General features: G+C 54.7%; 1 protein-coding gene across 32 annotated transcripts in view, besides 3 other annotated features; it reads left to right on the forward strand.

The window, feature by feature from the left end:
* Window positions 1–15,944, forward strand: part of LLGL2 (LLGL scribble cell polarity complex component 2) — a 50,208-nt gene that overhangs the window by 12,336 nt on the left and 21,928 nt on the right. For 22 of the 32 annotated variants that reach the window (XM_017024626.2, XM_011524802.2, XM_047435995.1 and 19 more), the window contains one exon: window positions 6,060–6,164. In XM_017024626.2, coding sequence (XP_016880115.1) covers window positions 6,090–6,164 — 75 coding nt within the window. In that variant the 5' untranslated portion in view covers window positions 6,060–6,089. Of the gene's footprint in view, window positions 1–1,193; window positions 1,300–2,452; window positions 2,550–5,816; window positions 5,872–6,059; window positions 6,165–13,848; window positions 14,068–15,944 lie in introns of those variants that run through there. The other 10 variants (XM_047435975.1, XM_047435981.1, XM_047435985.1 and 7 more) reach the window with 5 other exon arrangements.
* Window positions 4,191–5,008: an enhancer, noted in NCBI's record as "H3K4me1 hESC enhancer chr17:73537609-73538426 (GRCh37/hg19 assembly coordinates)". NCBI's record gives its function as "activates a minimal SCP1, AML or CMV promoter by ChIP-STARR-seq in naive H9 embryonic stem cells {active_cell/tissue: H9 hESC(naive)}" and the evidence as "EXISTENCE:reporter gene assay evidence [ECO:0000049][PMID:30033119]".
* Window positions 7,369–8,171: an enhancer, noted in NCBI's record as "H3K4me1 hESC enhancer chr17:73540787-73541589 (GRCh37/hg19 assembly coordinates)". NCBI's record gives its function as "activates a minimal SCP1, AML or CMV promoter by ChIP-STARR-seq in primed H9 embryonic stem cells {active_cell/tissue: H9 hESC(primed)}" and the evidence as "EXISTENCE:reporter gene assay evidence [ECO:0000049][PMID:30033119]".
* Window positions 15,092–15,672: an enhancer, noted in NCBI's record as "H3K27ac-H3K4me1 hESC enhancer chr17:73548510-73549090 (GRCh37/hg19 assembly coordinates)". NCBI's record gives its function as "activates a minimal SCP1, AML or CMV promoter by ChIP-STARR-seq in naive H9 embryonic stem cells {active_cell/tissue: H9 hESC(naive)}" and the evidence as "EXISTENCE:reporter gene assay evidence [ECO:0000049][PMID:30033119]".

Here is a 15,944-nt window from a genome sequence, read left to right on the forward strand (position 1 = left end):
CTGAACCCATCTTGACCATTCTCAGGACTCTGAGATAAAATGGTCCCTTTACCCCTTAGGATAAAATGATCCCAGGCTGGGTGCGGTGGCTCACGCCTATAATCCTAGCACTTTGTGGGGCCGAGGTGGGCAGATCACTTGAGATCAGGAGTTCGAGACCAGCCTGGCCAATATGGTGAAAACCACAGCTCTACTAAAAATAACAAAAAAATTAGCCAGGCATGGTGGTGGACACCTGTAATTCCAGCTACTTGGGAGGCTGAGGCAGGAGAATTGCTTGAACCTGGGAAACACAGTTGCAGTGAGCTAAGATTACACCACTGCACTTCAGCCTGGGCGACAGAGCGAGACTCCATCTCCAAAAAAAAAAAATCCCTTAAAACCATGGTGGACAGGGACAGCCTCCCAGCCTCCTAGGACTCGGAGAATGGTCAGGATGGGTTCAGATGGGAAGGCTTTTTGGAAGGTGACCTTTTTTTTTTTTTTTTTTTGAGACAGTCTCTCTCTGTTGCCCCGGCTGTATTACAGTGGCACAATCTCGATTCACTGCAGCCTCCGCCTCCTGGGTTCAAGCAATTCTCCTGCCTCAGCCTCCTGAGTAGTTGGGACCACATGGTGCCCGTCACCATACCTGGCTAATTTTTTGTCTTTTTAGTAGAGATGAGGTTTTGCTGTGTTGGCCAAGCTAGTCTCAAACTCCTGGCCTCAAGTGATCAGCCCGCCTTGGCCTCCCAAACTGCTGGGATTACAGGCGTGAGCCACCTCGCCCAGCCTGGAAGGGGGGCCGGGCTGATTGAGGGGGCAAGAAGGTATTTCAGACAGAGAATGGCAGGGACCATAGTGAATGGGGCCAGGGTGGGGCTGAGTAGATGGAGCAGCCAACAGGGCCAAGGAGAGAGGGCCAGTGACATGGAGGAGGGAACGGGGGGTGGGCAGGCCCCATCAGGTCCCTGCCTAGGACAGCTCAGGAGGCCCACTTTGTCATCTCTCTCATGTCATCTGCACAGATCTCTGCATTGGGCCCCCCACTTGTCTTCATCCTGAAACATAGAAGCCTCTCTCATCTTGAGGCTTTGCAGCTGTTGTTCCTTCTGCCTAACACACTGTGCCCCAAGTTGTCTGTGGCTGGCCCCTTCCCACCAGTCAGTCTCAGTGGAGACCTCGCCTCCTCTGTTCATTCATTCATTCAACAGATAACGAGTGAGGACTCGCTGTGTGCACTCGGATACAGCAGTGAATAAAAGGACAAAAGGTCTTGAATGGGAAAAAGAAAGCTGCTGCTTGTGGGGGATTCCACAGGTAATCAACAAGATTAATAAGTAAGCTATTCAGTGTGTCCAAACGTGGCCAGGTCCAAGGAGAAAAGCGGTGCAGGGAGGGAGAGAGAACATCCCAGGAGATTGCAGCTTCAGGTCGGGGAGGGCGTGAAGGTATCTGGAGGAAAGTGACCCAGGCAGTAGGAACAGGGAACGCACAGGCTCTGACAAGGGAATGGTCACTGAGACCTGTTGGCCACCAAAGCCTAGTTGCTGGATCTTCGCATCCTCTTTTTCTTTCTTTTTCTTTTTTTTAGAAACAAGAGTCTCGCTCTGTGGCCCAGGCTGGAGTGCAGTGGTACAGTCATAGCTCACAGCAGCCTCAAACTCCTGGGCTCCACTGATCTTCCCGCCTCAGCCTCCCAAGTAGCTGGGACCACAGGTGCTTGACACCATGCCTGGCTAATCCTTTTTGTTTGTTTTGAGACAGAGTTTCGCTCTGTCACCTAGGCTAGAGTACAGTGGTGGGTTCATAGCTCACTGCAGCCTCAACTTCCCAGGCTCAGCAATCCTTCCACCTTAGCCTTTTGAGTGGCTGGGACCACAGGTGCATGCCACCATGCCCAGCTAATTTTGTTTTTATTATTTTTAGAGATAGGGTCTCCCTATGTTGCCCTGGCTGGTCTTGAACTCCTGAGCTCAAGTGATCCTCCCACCGTAGCCTCCCAAAGTGGATTACAAGCATGAGCCACTGTGCCCAGCCCTCCTTTCTTTTCAAAATTTTTATTGTTCCATGTAAATTTGAAAAAATGTCCTTTCCTTTTTTTTTTAGAGACAGGGTCTCACTATGTTGCCCAGGCTGGTCGTCTCCAGCTCCTAGGCTCAAGTGATCCTCCCACCTTGGCCTCCCAAAGTGCTGGGATTATAGGAGTGAGCCACCGTGCCCAGCCCATCTCTTTTTTTTGATCAGAGATAGTCCTGACCTCTGTCAGAAATCATCCCATTTTCTGGTTACTTTTTTTTTTTTTTTTTTATACAGAATTTCACTCCGTCACCCAGACTGGAGTGCAGTGGTGCGATCTCAGCTCACTGTAACCTCCACCTCCCAGGTTCAAGTGATTCTCCTGCCTCAGCCTCCTGAGTAGCTGAAACTACAGGAGCACACTACCAGACTCAGTTAATTTTTGTATTTTTAGTAGAGACGGGGTTTCACCATGTTGACCCAGGCTGGTCTCGAACTCCTGACCTCAAGTGATCCACCCGCCTCGGCCTCCCAGAGTGCTGGGATTACAGGTGTGAGTTACTGCGGCTGGTTGGAAATCATCCCATTTTCTGATTTGTGTCCTGTGAAGTGTCTGTTGCTCCCCTGTCACTGCTGTATCCCTTTCCTAGGACAGTGTCTGCTCCATGCCAAGCTCTTGCTCCTTCTACAGGATCTGTGTGGGAGGGAGTGCCATCCCCCTTTACAGAGGAGCTGTCTCTGGAGGCCATGTGGCTTGGGGGAGCTATGCGGTGCTGTGATGGTGAGCCCTGGCCTGTTGGCCCCTAGCCCAGGGCTCTTTCCCTTACAACCCCTGGCTCCCTCCAGGAATGGGCTGAGTAGGCAGGATCTGTTCATACCAGGCGTCTCTAGGCCTGGCTTCCTGAAGTTTCTCTGCAGAGAACCTGCTTGTCTGGGGTGGGGAGCTGAGGAGCCACCTGGAGGTGAGGCCCGCCAGGTCTAGACCAGCCCCCTCTTCAAGGAAGCGTGGTGCTTTTCCATGCCTTGACCTGGGCAGTGGGTTGATTGGAGTGAGGGGATACCATGCCCACCCTGCCTTGGTCCTCCTGGCTCCATCACCCCATGCCCATGAGGTCCCAGCCCCGTGTGGGAAGAGCAGCAGGTCCACACAAGGCCACCAGCCCTGCCCAGCCAGACCTCGCCAGCACCCTGTCAGCAGCGGCCAGTCCCCAGGCCCCAGACTGCCGGGTCGGCTCTGAGCTGCCAGCATCTGGGAGCGTGTCTGTGCGTGTCCCTGCCTCTTAATTGCAAGGGTGTCATTGGGCATCCTTTGTTCTGTATTATCCATCCATCACTGCTACCCACAGCCCTTCTGACTTGGGGTCCAGTCCGAGTTCTGCCGCTTCCTACTTGGTGACCTTGACAGGGTGTTTTGCTGCTGTGGTCTGTTTCCTTGCCTGTCTAGTGGGGACGTTCTGCTTACCTTTCAGATGGCTTCCCAGATCAGGGTGGTGTGAGGGGCTCCACGCTCACAAACTCACACAGTGCCAAGGAAAGGAGATGGCCAGGACATTCAGCGACCCATGACTGTGACTCTCTGGATGCTGGGGTTTAGGGAGGATTTTCTTGTCTGTATTTGGTTTTTCTACAATGGGCACAGATTACTTGAGCAAAATGTTTTAAATGGAATAGGATGCAGAGGGTCTGGTACACTCACTCCCTACTGCACAGCAGGTGCCCCAGGGAGCATTTGGGTGGGTGGGTGGTGCTCAGTGTCCACGCCCTCCTGATGCCATTGCTACACCCTGTCTTCCTCCTTCCTACTGGCACCTCCTCCCAGCCCCCAGTTCTGCCTTGTCACTTTTAAGCCTGTGTGGAGTCTTTGGCACGGATGGCCCTGTGCCCTCTTGTCCCCTCCCTGGAGTCTGCAGGCAGTGGTCACTCTCCAGGGAGCCCCCACCAAGCTTCCTCTGACTTCTGACCCAGTGACCTTGGCCTGGGCCCCGGGTGGGGGTGTGAGCCCTCCAGGAGTCCAACTGGTTTATGAGTGTGAGCTGCCCTCCCCCAGGCTGCAATGCTGGGCCAGCAGATCTGGGTGTCCCCTCACTTCCATTCCAGAAGCCCTTGGGGCTTTCCCAGCCGGTGCCTGTTCTCTGAACCCCCTTGGGACCTTGGATCAAGTGGGCCCTAGGAGTTTCCCGGCCACCTGCTCTTCCCCAGCAAAGTGGGATCCCCACCTCTGGTCTGACTCCTCCAAAATGTGAAGGCAGGAACATCCCGGAATGACCCCCTTTTTCAGTTTCCCCAGAAGGTGACAGCGCTCTGGGGGCTGGTTCCTGGTATTCGGTTTTGAGATAACTGACCGTGCAGATCCTTTCACTCAAGGGGGATGTGGCTCTGCTTTTTTTTTTTTTTTTTTTTTTTTTTTTTTTGAGATACTGTTTTTGCTCTGTTGCCCAGGCCGGAGTGCAATGGCCTGATCTTGGCTCACTGCAACCTCCGCCTCTTGGGTTCTAGCAATTCTCCTGCCTTAGCCTTCCAAGTAGCTGGGATTACAGGCGTCTGCCACCACACTCGGCTAACTTTTTGTATTTTTAGTAGAGACGAGGTTTCACCATGTTGGCCAGGCTGGTCTCAAACTCTTGACCTGAGGTGATCCACCTGCCTCCGCCTCCCAAAGTGCTGGGATTACAAGACTGCCATTTTTTACAGTGCGATTTTGTAAAATCGGGTCACCCTCCCAGCACAGCAAGCCCTCGGTTCCTCTGCCCGAAGACACCCCCAACTCTGCCACGCACGTTACCTACCTTCTCCCACGCTGCCCAGATTACATGGGATCCTATCATATGCAAAGTCCTGACCTGATGGTTAATTTTTGCCACCTCCCAAGAACGCGAAATCCTTCAAACCTCAGCTTAGATACCTTCTTCTCGAAGGTATCTAAGCTGCCTCCCACTTCGGGCCAGGTGTTCCCTCTCCCTCCTGCAGTCAAAGCACTCAACACTGGGCTGCCCTGTCTCTACCTGTCCCTGCCTGGAGCACGCGCCTCCAGGGTGCGGCCTGGATCTGCTTCCTTCCCCCATCCTGCTGGGAGTGGACGGAGCTGTGCCCAGGGTCTGTGTTTCCCAAGGACGGGCCTTGCTGTCCTGTGGTCAGCAGGAGGCTGAGCTACTGGAAGCCAGAAGCTGGAGCACAGAGGCTCCTTCCCCTTCCCCCAAGGATAATCCAGAAATGGTTTCCCCTTGGGCTGGGAATGGATTCTATGGTGGGCGGAGAGTTTAGGGGCCTTGAGCTGGTTTCTTTATTGGGAGCAGATTCCTCCTGATTATTCTCCACTAGGGCCCGTGGGAAAGAGAACCTTTCTGAGCACAGCCCATGAGCGCACAGGGAAGCTGGACTGGGGCTAGCCAGAGAGAGGGGAGGGGACCGGCAGAGACCCCAGGCACGGTGGCATGGGCCAGCACCCCCTGACCGAGTGCTCTGTGCCACCCGTGCCCACTTGAGTTTCTCATGGCTGTGGCTGGTTGGAGAGGCTGAGGCCGAGAGTCCCTGGACAGCCTTCCCCGAGGTCAGAAGGAGGAAGCATCTGCCCGGTGCCCTGGCCTGGAGTCACTGCAGGCCTCTCCCCTGCCCCGACTTGGGCTCTGATCTGGGAAGGATGGCCTTGGTGTTTCTACCTTCCACAAGACTTTGGAGGAAGAGGCTTGCGAAGTTTCCCTTTCTGCTTAGCTGGAGTTTCATGGTTTCTCAGAAAACAGGTTAACAATTAAGCTAATTAACCTCAGGGCCCGCCGGCCCTCCTTGTGCTTATAAAGCCAGGCTAAATGGCTTCCTCCCCCAGCTTTTCCTACCCCCATTATAAGGCCACAGGTGGTGACAGCCTTCAGCCCTGAGGTGGGCCGGCCTCTAGATCTGAGCGTGGGGAAGCCAGGGTGCATGGGCGGTCACTGTGAAGCTGGCCTGGCCCCGGGGTGGCAGCCTACTGGACTTGGAGAGAGAGGCCCTGCTCCACCTGTTTGGGCCGGGCCTAATCGATACCTGAGTGCCAGGACAGACCCCTGCAGCTCCTTCTGTTTCTCCAGGTCTCCAGTGGGGGCTGCAGACTAAGCAAAATGAGGCGGTTCCTGAGGCCAGGGCATGACCCTGTGCGGGAGAGGCTCAAGCGGGACCTGTTCCAGTTTAACAAGGTAAGTTAGGGAGAGCAGGGAAGATGACCCCCAGGTTTTCGGCCAAGCAGCTCAGGCTGGGGCTGAGGCACCTCTTACCTGGATTAAGGTATAGCTCTTATGTGACTGCCTGCAGTGCCTCTTGGGACTCAGACTTTGGAAATGGGGCCTGGTTAAAGGGCTTTTATAGAAAAGGGGAATAGGTTGCCCTCATGAGTTGGGACTTCTCATCTGAAGGCTTTCACTGGCTGTGTGACCTCTGCAAGTCACTCCACCTCATGGAGCCTCAGTTTCCCTACCTGTATCATGGGAATAAAACGATCTGCCATGTCTACCTCGGCACAGGGTTGTCAAGGAGGTTTAGGGACGTGGGAGATGAAAGGATGAACTCTTCAGGGGGTGATAATGTTCCAGGTCCCTTGGGGCCCTGGAGTCACAGGCCATGGCTGTTTCTCCCTTCTCAAATTGCCCCTGAAGGAAAATGCAGCTCCCCTGCAGGCTGAACACGTGATTCCTTCTGGCTCCGGCCGGGGTGAGTGGGGAGAGGTGCCCAGGAGAATGAGCCGGAGTTGGCCTCGGACTACCCCAATCCCAAACCTGTATCCGGGGTACCAGAAGGCCCACGGGGCTTCCCTTCAGGAGTCTGGGGCCTGAGAAGGTCAGGACGGGCCTGTACGCAGGAGGCGTGCAGTGTGGCTCTTCAGCTCCCGGGCCACCAAGCAGTGTGGGGCCTTGTGAGGTAATGATCTTCTCACCTCTGCTTTGCGCCTCTGCTGGGAAGGTGGGCTGCAGGAACTGGGACACTGTGATCCTCTTCCCCCGGGGAGCCAGGACCCTCCCAATATGCTGAGGGCAGGACATGTGGCTTTCGTTGGGGGCTTCCGTTTGGGCTCCCCTGCCCCCGAAAGGAAGCAGTGGATGTGAGACCAGACAGTCTGGAAAAGGGATGTCTCCCTGTGGAGAATGAGGAAGTCTCTTTGGTTGTATTTTTGTTATTGATTTGAGAACTGTAGAAGTCAGCTTGCCCAGGTGCAAACCCAACTTTGCCACATAGAAGCTGGATGGCCGTGTGCCTGTCGCCCACACCATAGGCTTGTTAAGGGCGTACGTGGGGTGAGGTAACTTAAGTGCTAGGCACAGTGGCCCAGGAATGCTGGCTGCTGCTGTGGGCTGGAGGGGATCTCCGTGACCTCCCTGTTGGGAGAGGTGGGTCGTGGGGTGGAGGGACCTCCCTGACCTCCCCGTTGGGAGAGGTGGGTCAGCGCTCCCAATGTGCCCTGCCATTTCTCTCTGTGTTTCTTAGCCTGTGGGAGGAGTTGGTGTCCCTGATGGAGCTTTGCCACGAGGACATTTGCCTCTGGAATTAGGGCTTTCCTATCCCAACGTGCCTCCTGCCAGCTCGCTTTTGGGCCTTGGGATATGGGGGTGCAGGTGTTGGGAATGGGAGATCTCAGGACACCTACAGCCTGCTACCCTTGCTCTGGAGGGAGTAGCCTATGGGTGCTGGGTCTCAAAGCTTCGGTGTCCACGGGAGATGGAAGGGAACTGAGTGACCCCCATCTGCCTCCAGTCTTTCGCTTTGAAAAGGTGGCAGAAACCTGACAGGCTCAGCAAATAGGGCTGAACACCCCCCTACCCCTGCCCCCTTGCACCAAGTTCTGTCTGTGCAGCTGAGTGAGGCTAGGGTGGAGCTGGGGCAAGGAGTTGTCCCTTCTTCTTTCCCCTATCCCCCAGGGGTGATCCCCAAACTTGATTGTCCCACTCCCAGGCCTGGGGGTGGCAGAGGGAGGCTCCTGGGTCTCCTGCTCTGCCTTCTTCTTTCCATTCATATGCAAGAAGCATGCATTGAGCACTTACTGGATCCACAGCCCAAGGCTCAGGGCTATGGGAATCTGATTAGGCCTCTGCCCTCCACTTTTACAGTCTGCAGGAGGGAGGAGGCTGATGGCCTGAAATTTCAGGCCTTGGAAGTGGAGAGGAGGAAGGGGAGAGCCCAGGGGATTCAGGAGCGGGGTAGACTCATCCGGCTCGGGGAGTGTGGTGGGGCCAGCAGGGTGGGATTGGAGGATGAGGCCAGATCCCAGAGGATTTGGGATCCCGTCTGCCCTGCCCCTCCCCAGCCCAGGCTGTGAAGCAGGGAGGCTGCTGGTATCTGGGCCTGATCTGACCCTGCGGCTCCAGGGGTTGTGAGCAAGGGAGTGAATAGTGGTCCCATTTACAATGTAGGAAAGATAAACCTGGAGATGTTTTTACCCTTTGGGCAAGGCAGGTAAGCTCAGAGCAGTTAGGAGACATTGCCCCGACTAAGATAGGTGACAGCCCAGAAGGAAGGGACTGGAAGCCCAGCCAGTGGGGATGGGAACGAGGCATGAATTGAGCAGGGTTTCTCAACTTCAGCACTCACAGATGATATTTGAGGCTGGCTGTGCTGCGGAGGCTGTCCTGTGCGTTGTAGATTATTTAGCAGTGTCCCTAGTCCTACCCACTAGATGCCAGTAGCACATACATACACACACAGCCTGTCAAGATGTGACAACCAAGAATGTTTCCTGAGGGGTAAAATCGCTCCTGGTTTGAGACCCATGGAATAGAGAACTATTCAGGGCTGAGATCTGCTGATGGGGCAGTAAAGAGGGAGGGGATGGGGAGGGGAGGCGGGTGTGCAGGATGACCGTGAAGTCTCTGACCTGGGTAGGTGGTGGTGCCAGGCCTTGGGAGGGGGAGCCCAGGCCAGGAGTGGCGAAGAACAGATTTGAGGAAAAGTAATGTATTTTGATCGTTTTGATTTGGACACAATCGCAACAACAGTGCTCTCCATTTTTGGAGAGGCAGCTTGCCCAGAGGTGAGTGGTGCCGACTGCCCGGCTCGCCAGCTGTGTGACCTTGAGCAGGTCACATGCCTCTGAGATAATGATAATCAGAGCCACTCCATCCATAGAGTTGGTGTGAGGACTACATGAGTTCCTGCACGAATCGAAGGCCACGTCTGGCTGGCGGCTGCAGTGTCCGGCAGCATCGTTCTGTGGTGGGTGTCATGTGGCTTGAGGTTGAGTTGGGGGAGCCTTGGGACAGGCCCAGCAGACAGGCGGAGGGCAGGTCCAGCAGACAGGCGGAGGGCAGGTCCAGCAGACAGGCGGAGGGCAGGTCCAGCAGACAGGCGGAGGGCAGGTCCAGCAGACAGGCGGAGGGCAGGTCCAGCAGACAGGCGGAGGGCAGGTCCAGCAGACAGACGGAGGGCAGGTCCAGCAGACAGGCGGAGGGCAGGTCCAGCAGACAGGCGGAGGGCAGGTCCAGCAGACAGACGGAGGGCAGGTCCAGCAGACAGGCGGAGGGCAGGTCCAGCAGACAGGCGGAGGGCAGGTCCAGCAGACAGGCGGAGGGCAGGTCCAGCGGACGGTGGGATACCCAGGGCTGGAGCCTGGAGCGGCACGTGGGCTGTTGGTGTAGGCGAGGGTCAGGCCCCAGACAGTGTTCATGCTGGCAACTCAGGTCATCTCTTCCAGTGGTCCTGGAAGGCCAGTCTGCTGGGTACTGTGACAGCTGGGACAGTGGCGCCATCACAGCTCGACCCCAGGTGGCTTGTAGACACTGGCTTCTGAACCAGTTCTGGCCTTTTTGTCCAACACCTTTTGGCTCAACTCCTTTATACCCACACCAAGCCCGATGCCTCAAAGAGAGCAAGGACATCGCCCCGGGGGTCCTGAGAGGGAGACGTCTTGTTTCTTTGGCTTCAGTACTTCCAGAGGATCTGTGATTGCGAACAGTCTCTGAACTCTGCCAGGAACTGGCTGTCAGAGCGGTAACTCCAGTTCACCGAGGGCTATGTGCCAGGCATCAGAGGGGCCAGGTAGTGGTTAGGGGCAGGGACTTTGCAGCCACATGACCTGGGTCTAGATGCGGGCTCTGATGCTTCCTCACTGTGTAAGACACAGTGGACGCATTACTTAGCCTCTCTGTTCTTTAGTTTCCTCATCTGTAAAATGGGCATTGTAGGGGAGCAAAAACTGGCTTCCCTCCAGCCTTCTAGGTTCTTTGGCTGGGCTATGAATTAAATTGACGAGAGGCGGGGCGCAGTGGCTCATGCCTGTAATCCCAGCACTTTGGGAGGCTGAGGTGGGTGGATCACTTGAGGTCTGAAGTTAGAGACCAGCCTGGCCAACATGGCGAAACCCCATCTCTACTAAAAATACAAAAATCAGTTGGGTGTGGTGGCACACGCCTGTAGTCTCAGCTACTAGGGAGGCTGGGGCAAGAGAATCAGTTGAACCCTGGAGGCGGAGATTGCAGTGAGCCGAGATCATGCCACTGCACTCTAGCCTGGGTGACAGAGTGAGACCCTGTCTCAAAAAAAAAAAAAATGAGGACTGGGGTGGAATGTGACCAGGTTACAGGAAGGTGAGGGGAGGAAGTGTAGGTGAATGAAGGTTGTCTTGTTATGCAGAGAAGGTCCTGGGTAATAAAAGTTGCCTTGGAGCAGCCTTCTTCCTGATACAGATATGGATTGAGCATACATGATCAGAAAATCTGATATCCGAAATGCTCCAAAATCTGAGTTTTTGAAGTGCCAACATGACACTGAAAGGGAATGCTCACTGGAGCGTTTCAGATTTTGAAAGTTTGGATTTGGGATGCTCGACCGGTAAGTATAATGCAAATATTCCGAAACCCAAAAGATTCTGAAATCTAAAACCCTCTATTCGCAATCATTTTAGATGAGGGATATTCCGCCTGTACTTGACTAATGTAGCTTTCCTTTGTGGATGTAAATTTATTTTACAGAAGGACAATTTTTTTTTTCCTTTTTTTTTTTTTTTTGGACGGAGTTTAGCTCTTGTTGCCCGGGCTGGAGTGCAATGGTACCATCTCAGCTCACTGCAACCTCTGCCTCCCGGGTTCAAGGGATTCTCCAGCCTCAGCCTCCCACATAGCTGGGATTACAGGCATGTGCCACCACGCCCGGCTAAAGGACAGCTTTTCAGAGCTACTCCCATGTCTGCACTTTCTGAGAATAACCAGCTCAAAGTATGCCAAAGAAGTGGCCGGGCGCCGTGTCTCCTGCCTGCAATGCCAGCAGTTTGGGAGGCTGAGGCAGGTAGATCACCTGAGGTCAGGAGTTCGAGATCAGCCTAGCCGGGCATGGTGGCGCACACCTGTAATCCCAGCTACTTGAGAGGCTGAGGCAGGAGAATCACTTGAACCTGGGAGGCGGAGGTTGCAGTGAGCCAAGATCGCGCCATTGCACTCCAGCCTGGGTGACAGAGTGAGATTCTGTCTCAAAAAAAAAAAAAAAGCCAAAGAAGTATACTTTGGGGTAGCCCATTCTGGTCTCCTACAGTGGTATTTTGGGGTGGTATGTCCTGAGTTCCAACAGCATCATAATGATCCCTAAGGGAGTGTAATTGCTTCAAACGGTGCCTGACACAGGTCGACGCCTTACCAGGACTTGCCTTGTTGTGGTGTCACCCTCACAACAACTCAGGATGGGTGTTGCTTCCATTCTGCAGGGGAGGAGACTAAGGCCCCCAGGGCTTGCACAGCTGGAGCTTATCCGGGGCAGGGGCACTGGCTGGGGTGAGGATGTCCTGGTTTCACCTGTGGTCTGGCTGTGTGGCCTTAGAGTGGTGGCTTCACCTCCCTTCACACCTCAGTTACTTCACCAGTGAAGTAACTGTTTGCTATATATGGTGGGCCGTCAAGCCTATTGGAGGGATGGACAGACAGACAAGTCAGCTGCAGCACCAGGACAGGGCCACTGAGGACCAAGGGAAGGAACCATGGGACCTCGGGAGGGAGGAAGTGCTGCTGGAGAAGTCAAGGTAAAACCCGTTCCTAGACAACTGCTCACAGCCAGCTCGCTCCCCTCGGCCAAACCCAGGCACACCCCAAGCAGCCACACCCATCAGGGCAAACAGGCTGCTGTGCTTGCCCGGCTGCCGCAGAAGCACCTGCCTGGGCCTTCCCTGCCCGTGCCCACCCTCCTCTGTCCCCTTAGGCCCTGAACAAACAGTGTGTTCCTGACCCAGCAGCCCCTGCGGAGGGCCAGGTTGTTCTGTATTGGCTTTCGAATGGCTGGGCCCCTGGTGTCAGGTGACAGCAGCCACACAGGGAGGGCCAGGCTGCCGCCACTGCCAGGAATCTGAGCTGGCCACACCCAGCCAGTATCGGGCAGAGTGGCCCGGCCAGGCAGGAGTGCTCCCCCAAGGTGCTGGGCAGCCTCTGAGGGCCTGGTGCCCACCACTGCCTCCTTCCCACCCCCTGAGGAGTGCCAGGGACTCCTCCTCAGGTCCTAGCCCTTGGGCAGGGTCCTCCCTGGCTGCAGGCAGGATGAAGGCCCCACTGTCTCTGACAGCCAGCCTTTGCCCACTCGCTCCCCTTCCGGGACCTGGAAAGGAGTCCCAGAGCCCAGGAGAGACGGGCCTTCTCCCCTACTCCAGGCTAACGTTGCAGTCTGGCGGCTTCTGCAAATCTTTGCTCTCCTTTCCCAACCCCCCTGTCAAAAGAGTTCATTGTTCTCTCCTCCCTTGGCAGAGGTCACCTGAGCCAGGTATCAGATGTGGGCGGGGCCGGGTAGGCTGGATGCCGCGCTTCGGAGGCCCCAGTGGCTGCCAGGCAGCTTTGGTCAGCCTCCTGGTTTGAATCTGAGGAGAGATAGCTAGGGTCCTAGAATAGCTGGGGAGGGCTGGTCTTGGAATTCCTTGACCACCCAGGGGCTATGCCCCGTCCCGCCCTCTGTCCTGAGTGCAGCCGCGATTCAGGGTTGCTGTGTGTACCTTTGCAGGAAGGCAGCCCTGGGGCTGAGCCCAACCTCCTGTGCTCAGGTGGGTACTTCCTTTTAGGGAGGCCATATGCACTCCCTCTAACAGGGACCTGGAACTGTTCCTGAACCCTAAACAAGGGGGGAGTCACCACCTAAGTGATACAGACCTTGTTCAGCAGCAGGGAAGCTAAGCCTTACAAGGCTGGTAGGAGTTGGGGGTGGGATCCAAGGGGGTGGGAAGGGCACCAAAGTAAGGGGCGGGGCAGGCCGGGCGCGGTGGCTTACACCTGTAATCCCAGCACTTTGGGAGGCTGAGGCAGGTGGATCACTTGAGTCCAGGAGTTCGAGACCAGCCTGGGCAACATAGTGACACCTCATCTCTACAAAAAATACAAAAATTAGCCAGCTGTGGTGGCGCATGCCTGTAGTTCTAGCTACTCGGGAGACTCAGGTGGATCACTTGAGCCCGGGAGGAGGAGGTTACAGTGAGCTGAGATCGTACCACTGCACTCCAGCCTGGGCAACAGAGTGAGACCCTGTCTCAAAAAAAAAAAAAAAAAAAAAAAACACACACACACAAACTAGGGGGCAACTGGGGCACAGCCAGAGGTGCCCATGGAGCCTTCGTTCTTTCCCTGACTGGTTTCCTCAGGACACTAGGCCCTGGGTTTCTAGCTTCTCCCTGTCCCTTCTGTTAGCTGCTCTTAGTCCTGTTCCCAAATCCCAATCCCTTCCCTGTTCCCAACAAGATCCCTTGGGCTTCTCATAACTAACCTAGGGCTCCCCTGCCTCTCTGCCCAGCCCGAGCCCCTGTCCTCATAGGACTGCCTGAGGAATCCCCTGGGAGACAGGTCATTTACACATGAAACCATTCTCTTGGCCCTGTCCAGGTAGAGTCGCTGTGAAGGTCACTGCCCTTATTTTGGTTTTAGGGGAGCCCTGGTCCCTCCAGAGTTGCCAACTTGGAGAAGTGCCCAAGGTGATACTATGGAACAATGCGAGCCTCGGAAGGAAGCAGAGGCCTGTGTGTGCTGCAGGGTGGCCTCAGATCCATCATCTCCAATCCAAGGACAGCTCTGCCCAGTGCAGTCACCAGTACCATCCCGTTTATTAGATGAGAAATGAAGCTCAGGGAGGCCCAGCAGCTCATCCACGACCAGATGCCTTGTACGTGGCAGGAAGGGATACAAAGCTTAGTGGGTCTGACTCAGTCCCTGTTCTAAATCAGCCTTTGGAAAAGAAGGTGGGGATGGGGGGGAGGGGTGGCCACGATAACTCCAAGGCTTGAAGGGAATGAGGAATGAATGCGGGTGGTTGAAGGATGGGCCCAACCCTTTGTCTTCCTCTGAGTTAGAGGAAAGATGCTGAGCCGAACAGGAGTAGTGACTCTGGTGAAATGTTAGAAGAACTGCCCGCCCTTGACTTGTGGCCTGAGAGCCTAGCAAAAAGTTACAGGCTGTTTTCTCTGTGGCCTGACGTTCCTGCTGGTGTGCGGAATTGTCGAGGCCAATGGGAATATAATATGAGCCATGTATGTGATTTAAAATTTCCTAGAAGCTGCATTGTATAATTATTTAAACACGTGAAATTAATTTTAATTATATATTCTGGCTGGGTGCGGTGGCTCACGCCTGTAATCCCAGAACTTTGGGAGGTCAAGGCGAGGAGATCACTTGAAGTCAGGAGTTCGAGACCAGCCTGGCCAACATGGTGAAACCCCATCTCTACTAAAAATGCAAAAATTAGCTGGGCGTGGTGGTGCATGCCTGTAGTCCCAGCTACTTGGGAGGCTGAGGCAGGAGAATCATTTGAACCCGGGAGGTGGAGGTTGCAGCGAGCTAAGATCTCACCACTGCACTCCAATTAGGTGACAGAGGGAGACTCTGTCTTTAAAAAAAAAGTCTAGAAGCTGCATTATGAAATTATTTAAACAAGTGAAATTAATTTTAATCCTGTATTCCAGCTGGTCAAGGTGGCTCATACCTGTAATCCCAGCACTCTGGCACTCTGGAAGGCTGAGGCCTGTGGATCACTTGAGGCCAGGAGTTTGAGACCAGCCTAGCCAACTTGGTGAAACCCCGTCTCTACTAAAAATACAAAAACTAGCTGGGCGTGGTGGTGTGTGCCTGTAGTCCCAGCTCCTCAGGAGGCTGAGGCGGGAGGATCACTTGAACCAGGGAGGCGGAGGTTGCAGTGAGCTGTGATCGTGCCACTGCACTCCAGGCGTGACAGGCGTGACCCTATCTCAAAAAAAAATTATATATTCCTTTTAATCCAACATATGCAAAATATTTTGACGTGTGATTAACTACTAATGAGATTTTTTCAGTTTGTGTTTTTGAATGCTCAATTTGTGAAATCTAGGTGTATTTTACACTTACGGCACATCTCAGTTCAGACATTAAATCTTTTTTGGAAGTACTAGATCTGTATTTAGAATTTGGATGATTTACAGTGGAAAAAGGGAATTCGAAGCGTGGCCTGCCTGAGTCCAGCCCCTGTTCTTCTAGAACCCGAGTTGTTCCAGACATACTTGAAGGGTTTCCAAGAACTGACTTAATCCTCATTGGTGACATGAGCCATACTGCAAGTGCTTGGTGGCCCCATGGGGCTCATGGCTACCGTTCTGGGCAGCTCGGAGCATGGGGCCTGCTCCTGGCCAGGCCATTGGGCTCCTGTAGGGCATTTCCACCAGAGTCCTCCAAATTCCAGAGGCTGTTCCCTGAGCTGCCTCTGCTGCTGGGAAAGTGCTGCTGTCCTGGGAGACGGCTCCGGCTGCTGACTTCCTGAGGCCCCAGCAACCTGGGGCTGGCTGAGGTCTGGTGGGGCCCCTGGGGGAGCTTGTCCTGCACATCCTATCCCACTGTCTACTCCCCTTTTCCTGGGAAATGTTTACATTCCAGACACTCAGCTATCTCTATCCAGGGCTTCTCCAGGCTCTGCATTTTTCGCATAGCTGAACAGGGACCTGGGCTGGCCTGGGGGCCGCTGCTGGGCCCTATCTGTCCCCCTGGCTATCCCATTTAGGTATGACCATTTGCAGG

This window comes from Homo sapiens, chromosome 17, assembly GCF_000001405.40.
Source record: "Homo sapiens chromosome 17, GRCh38.p14 Primary Assembly".
NCBI lineage: Eukaryota > Metazoa > Chordata > Mammalia > Primates > Hominidae > Homo > Homo sapiens.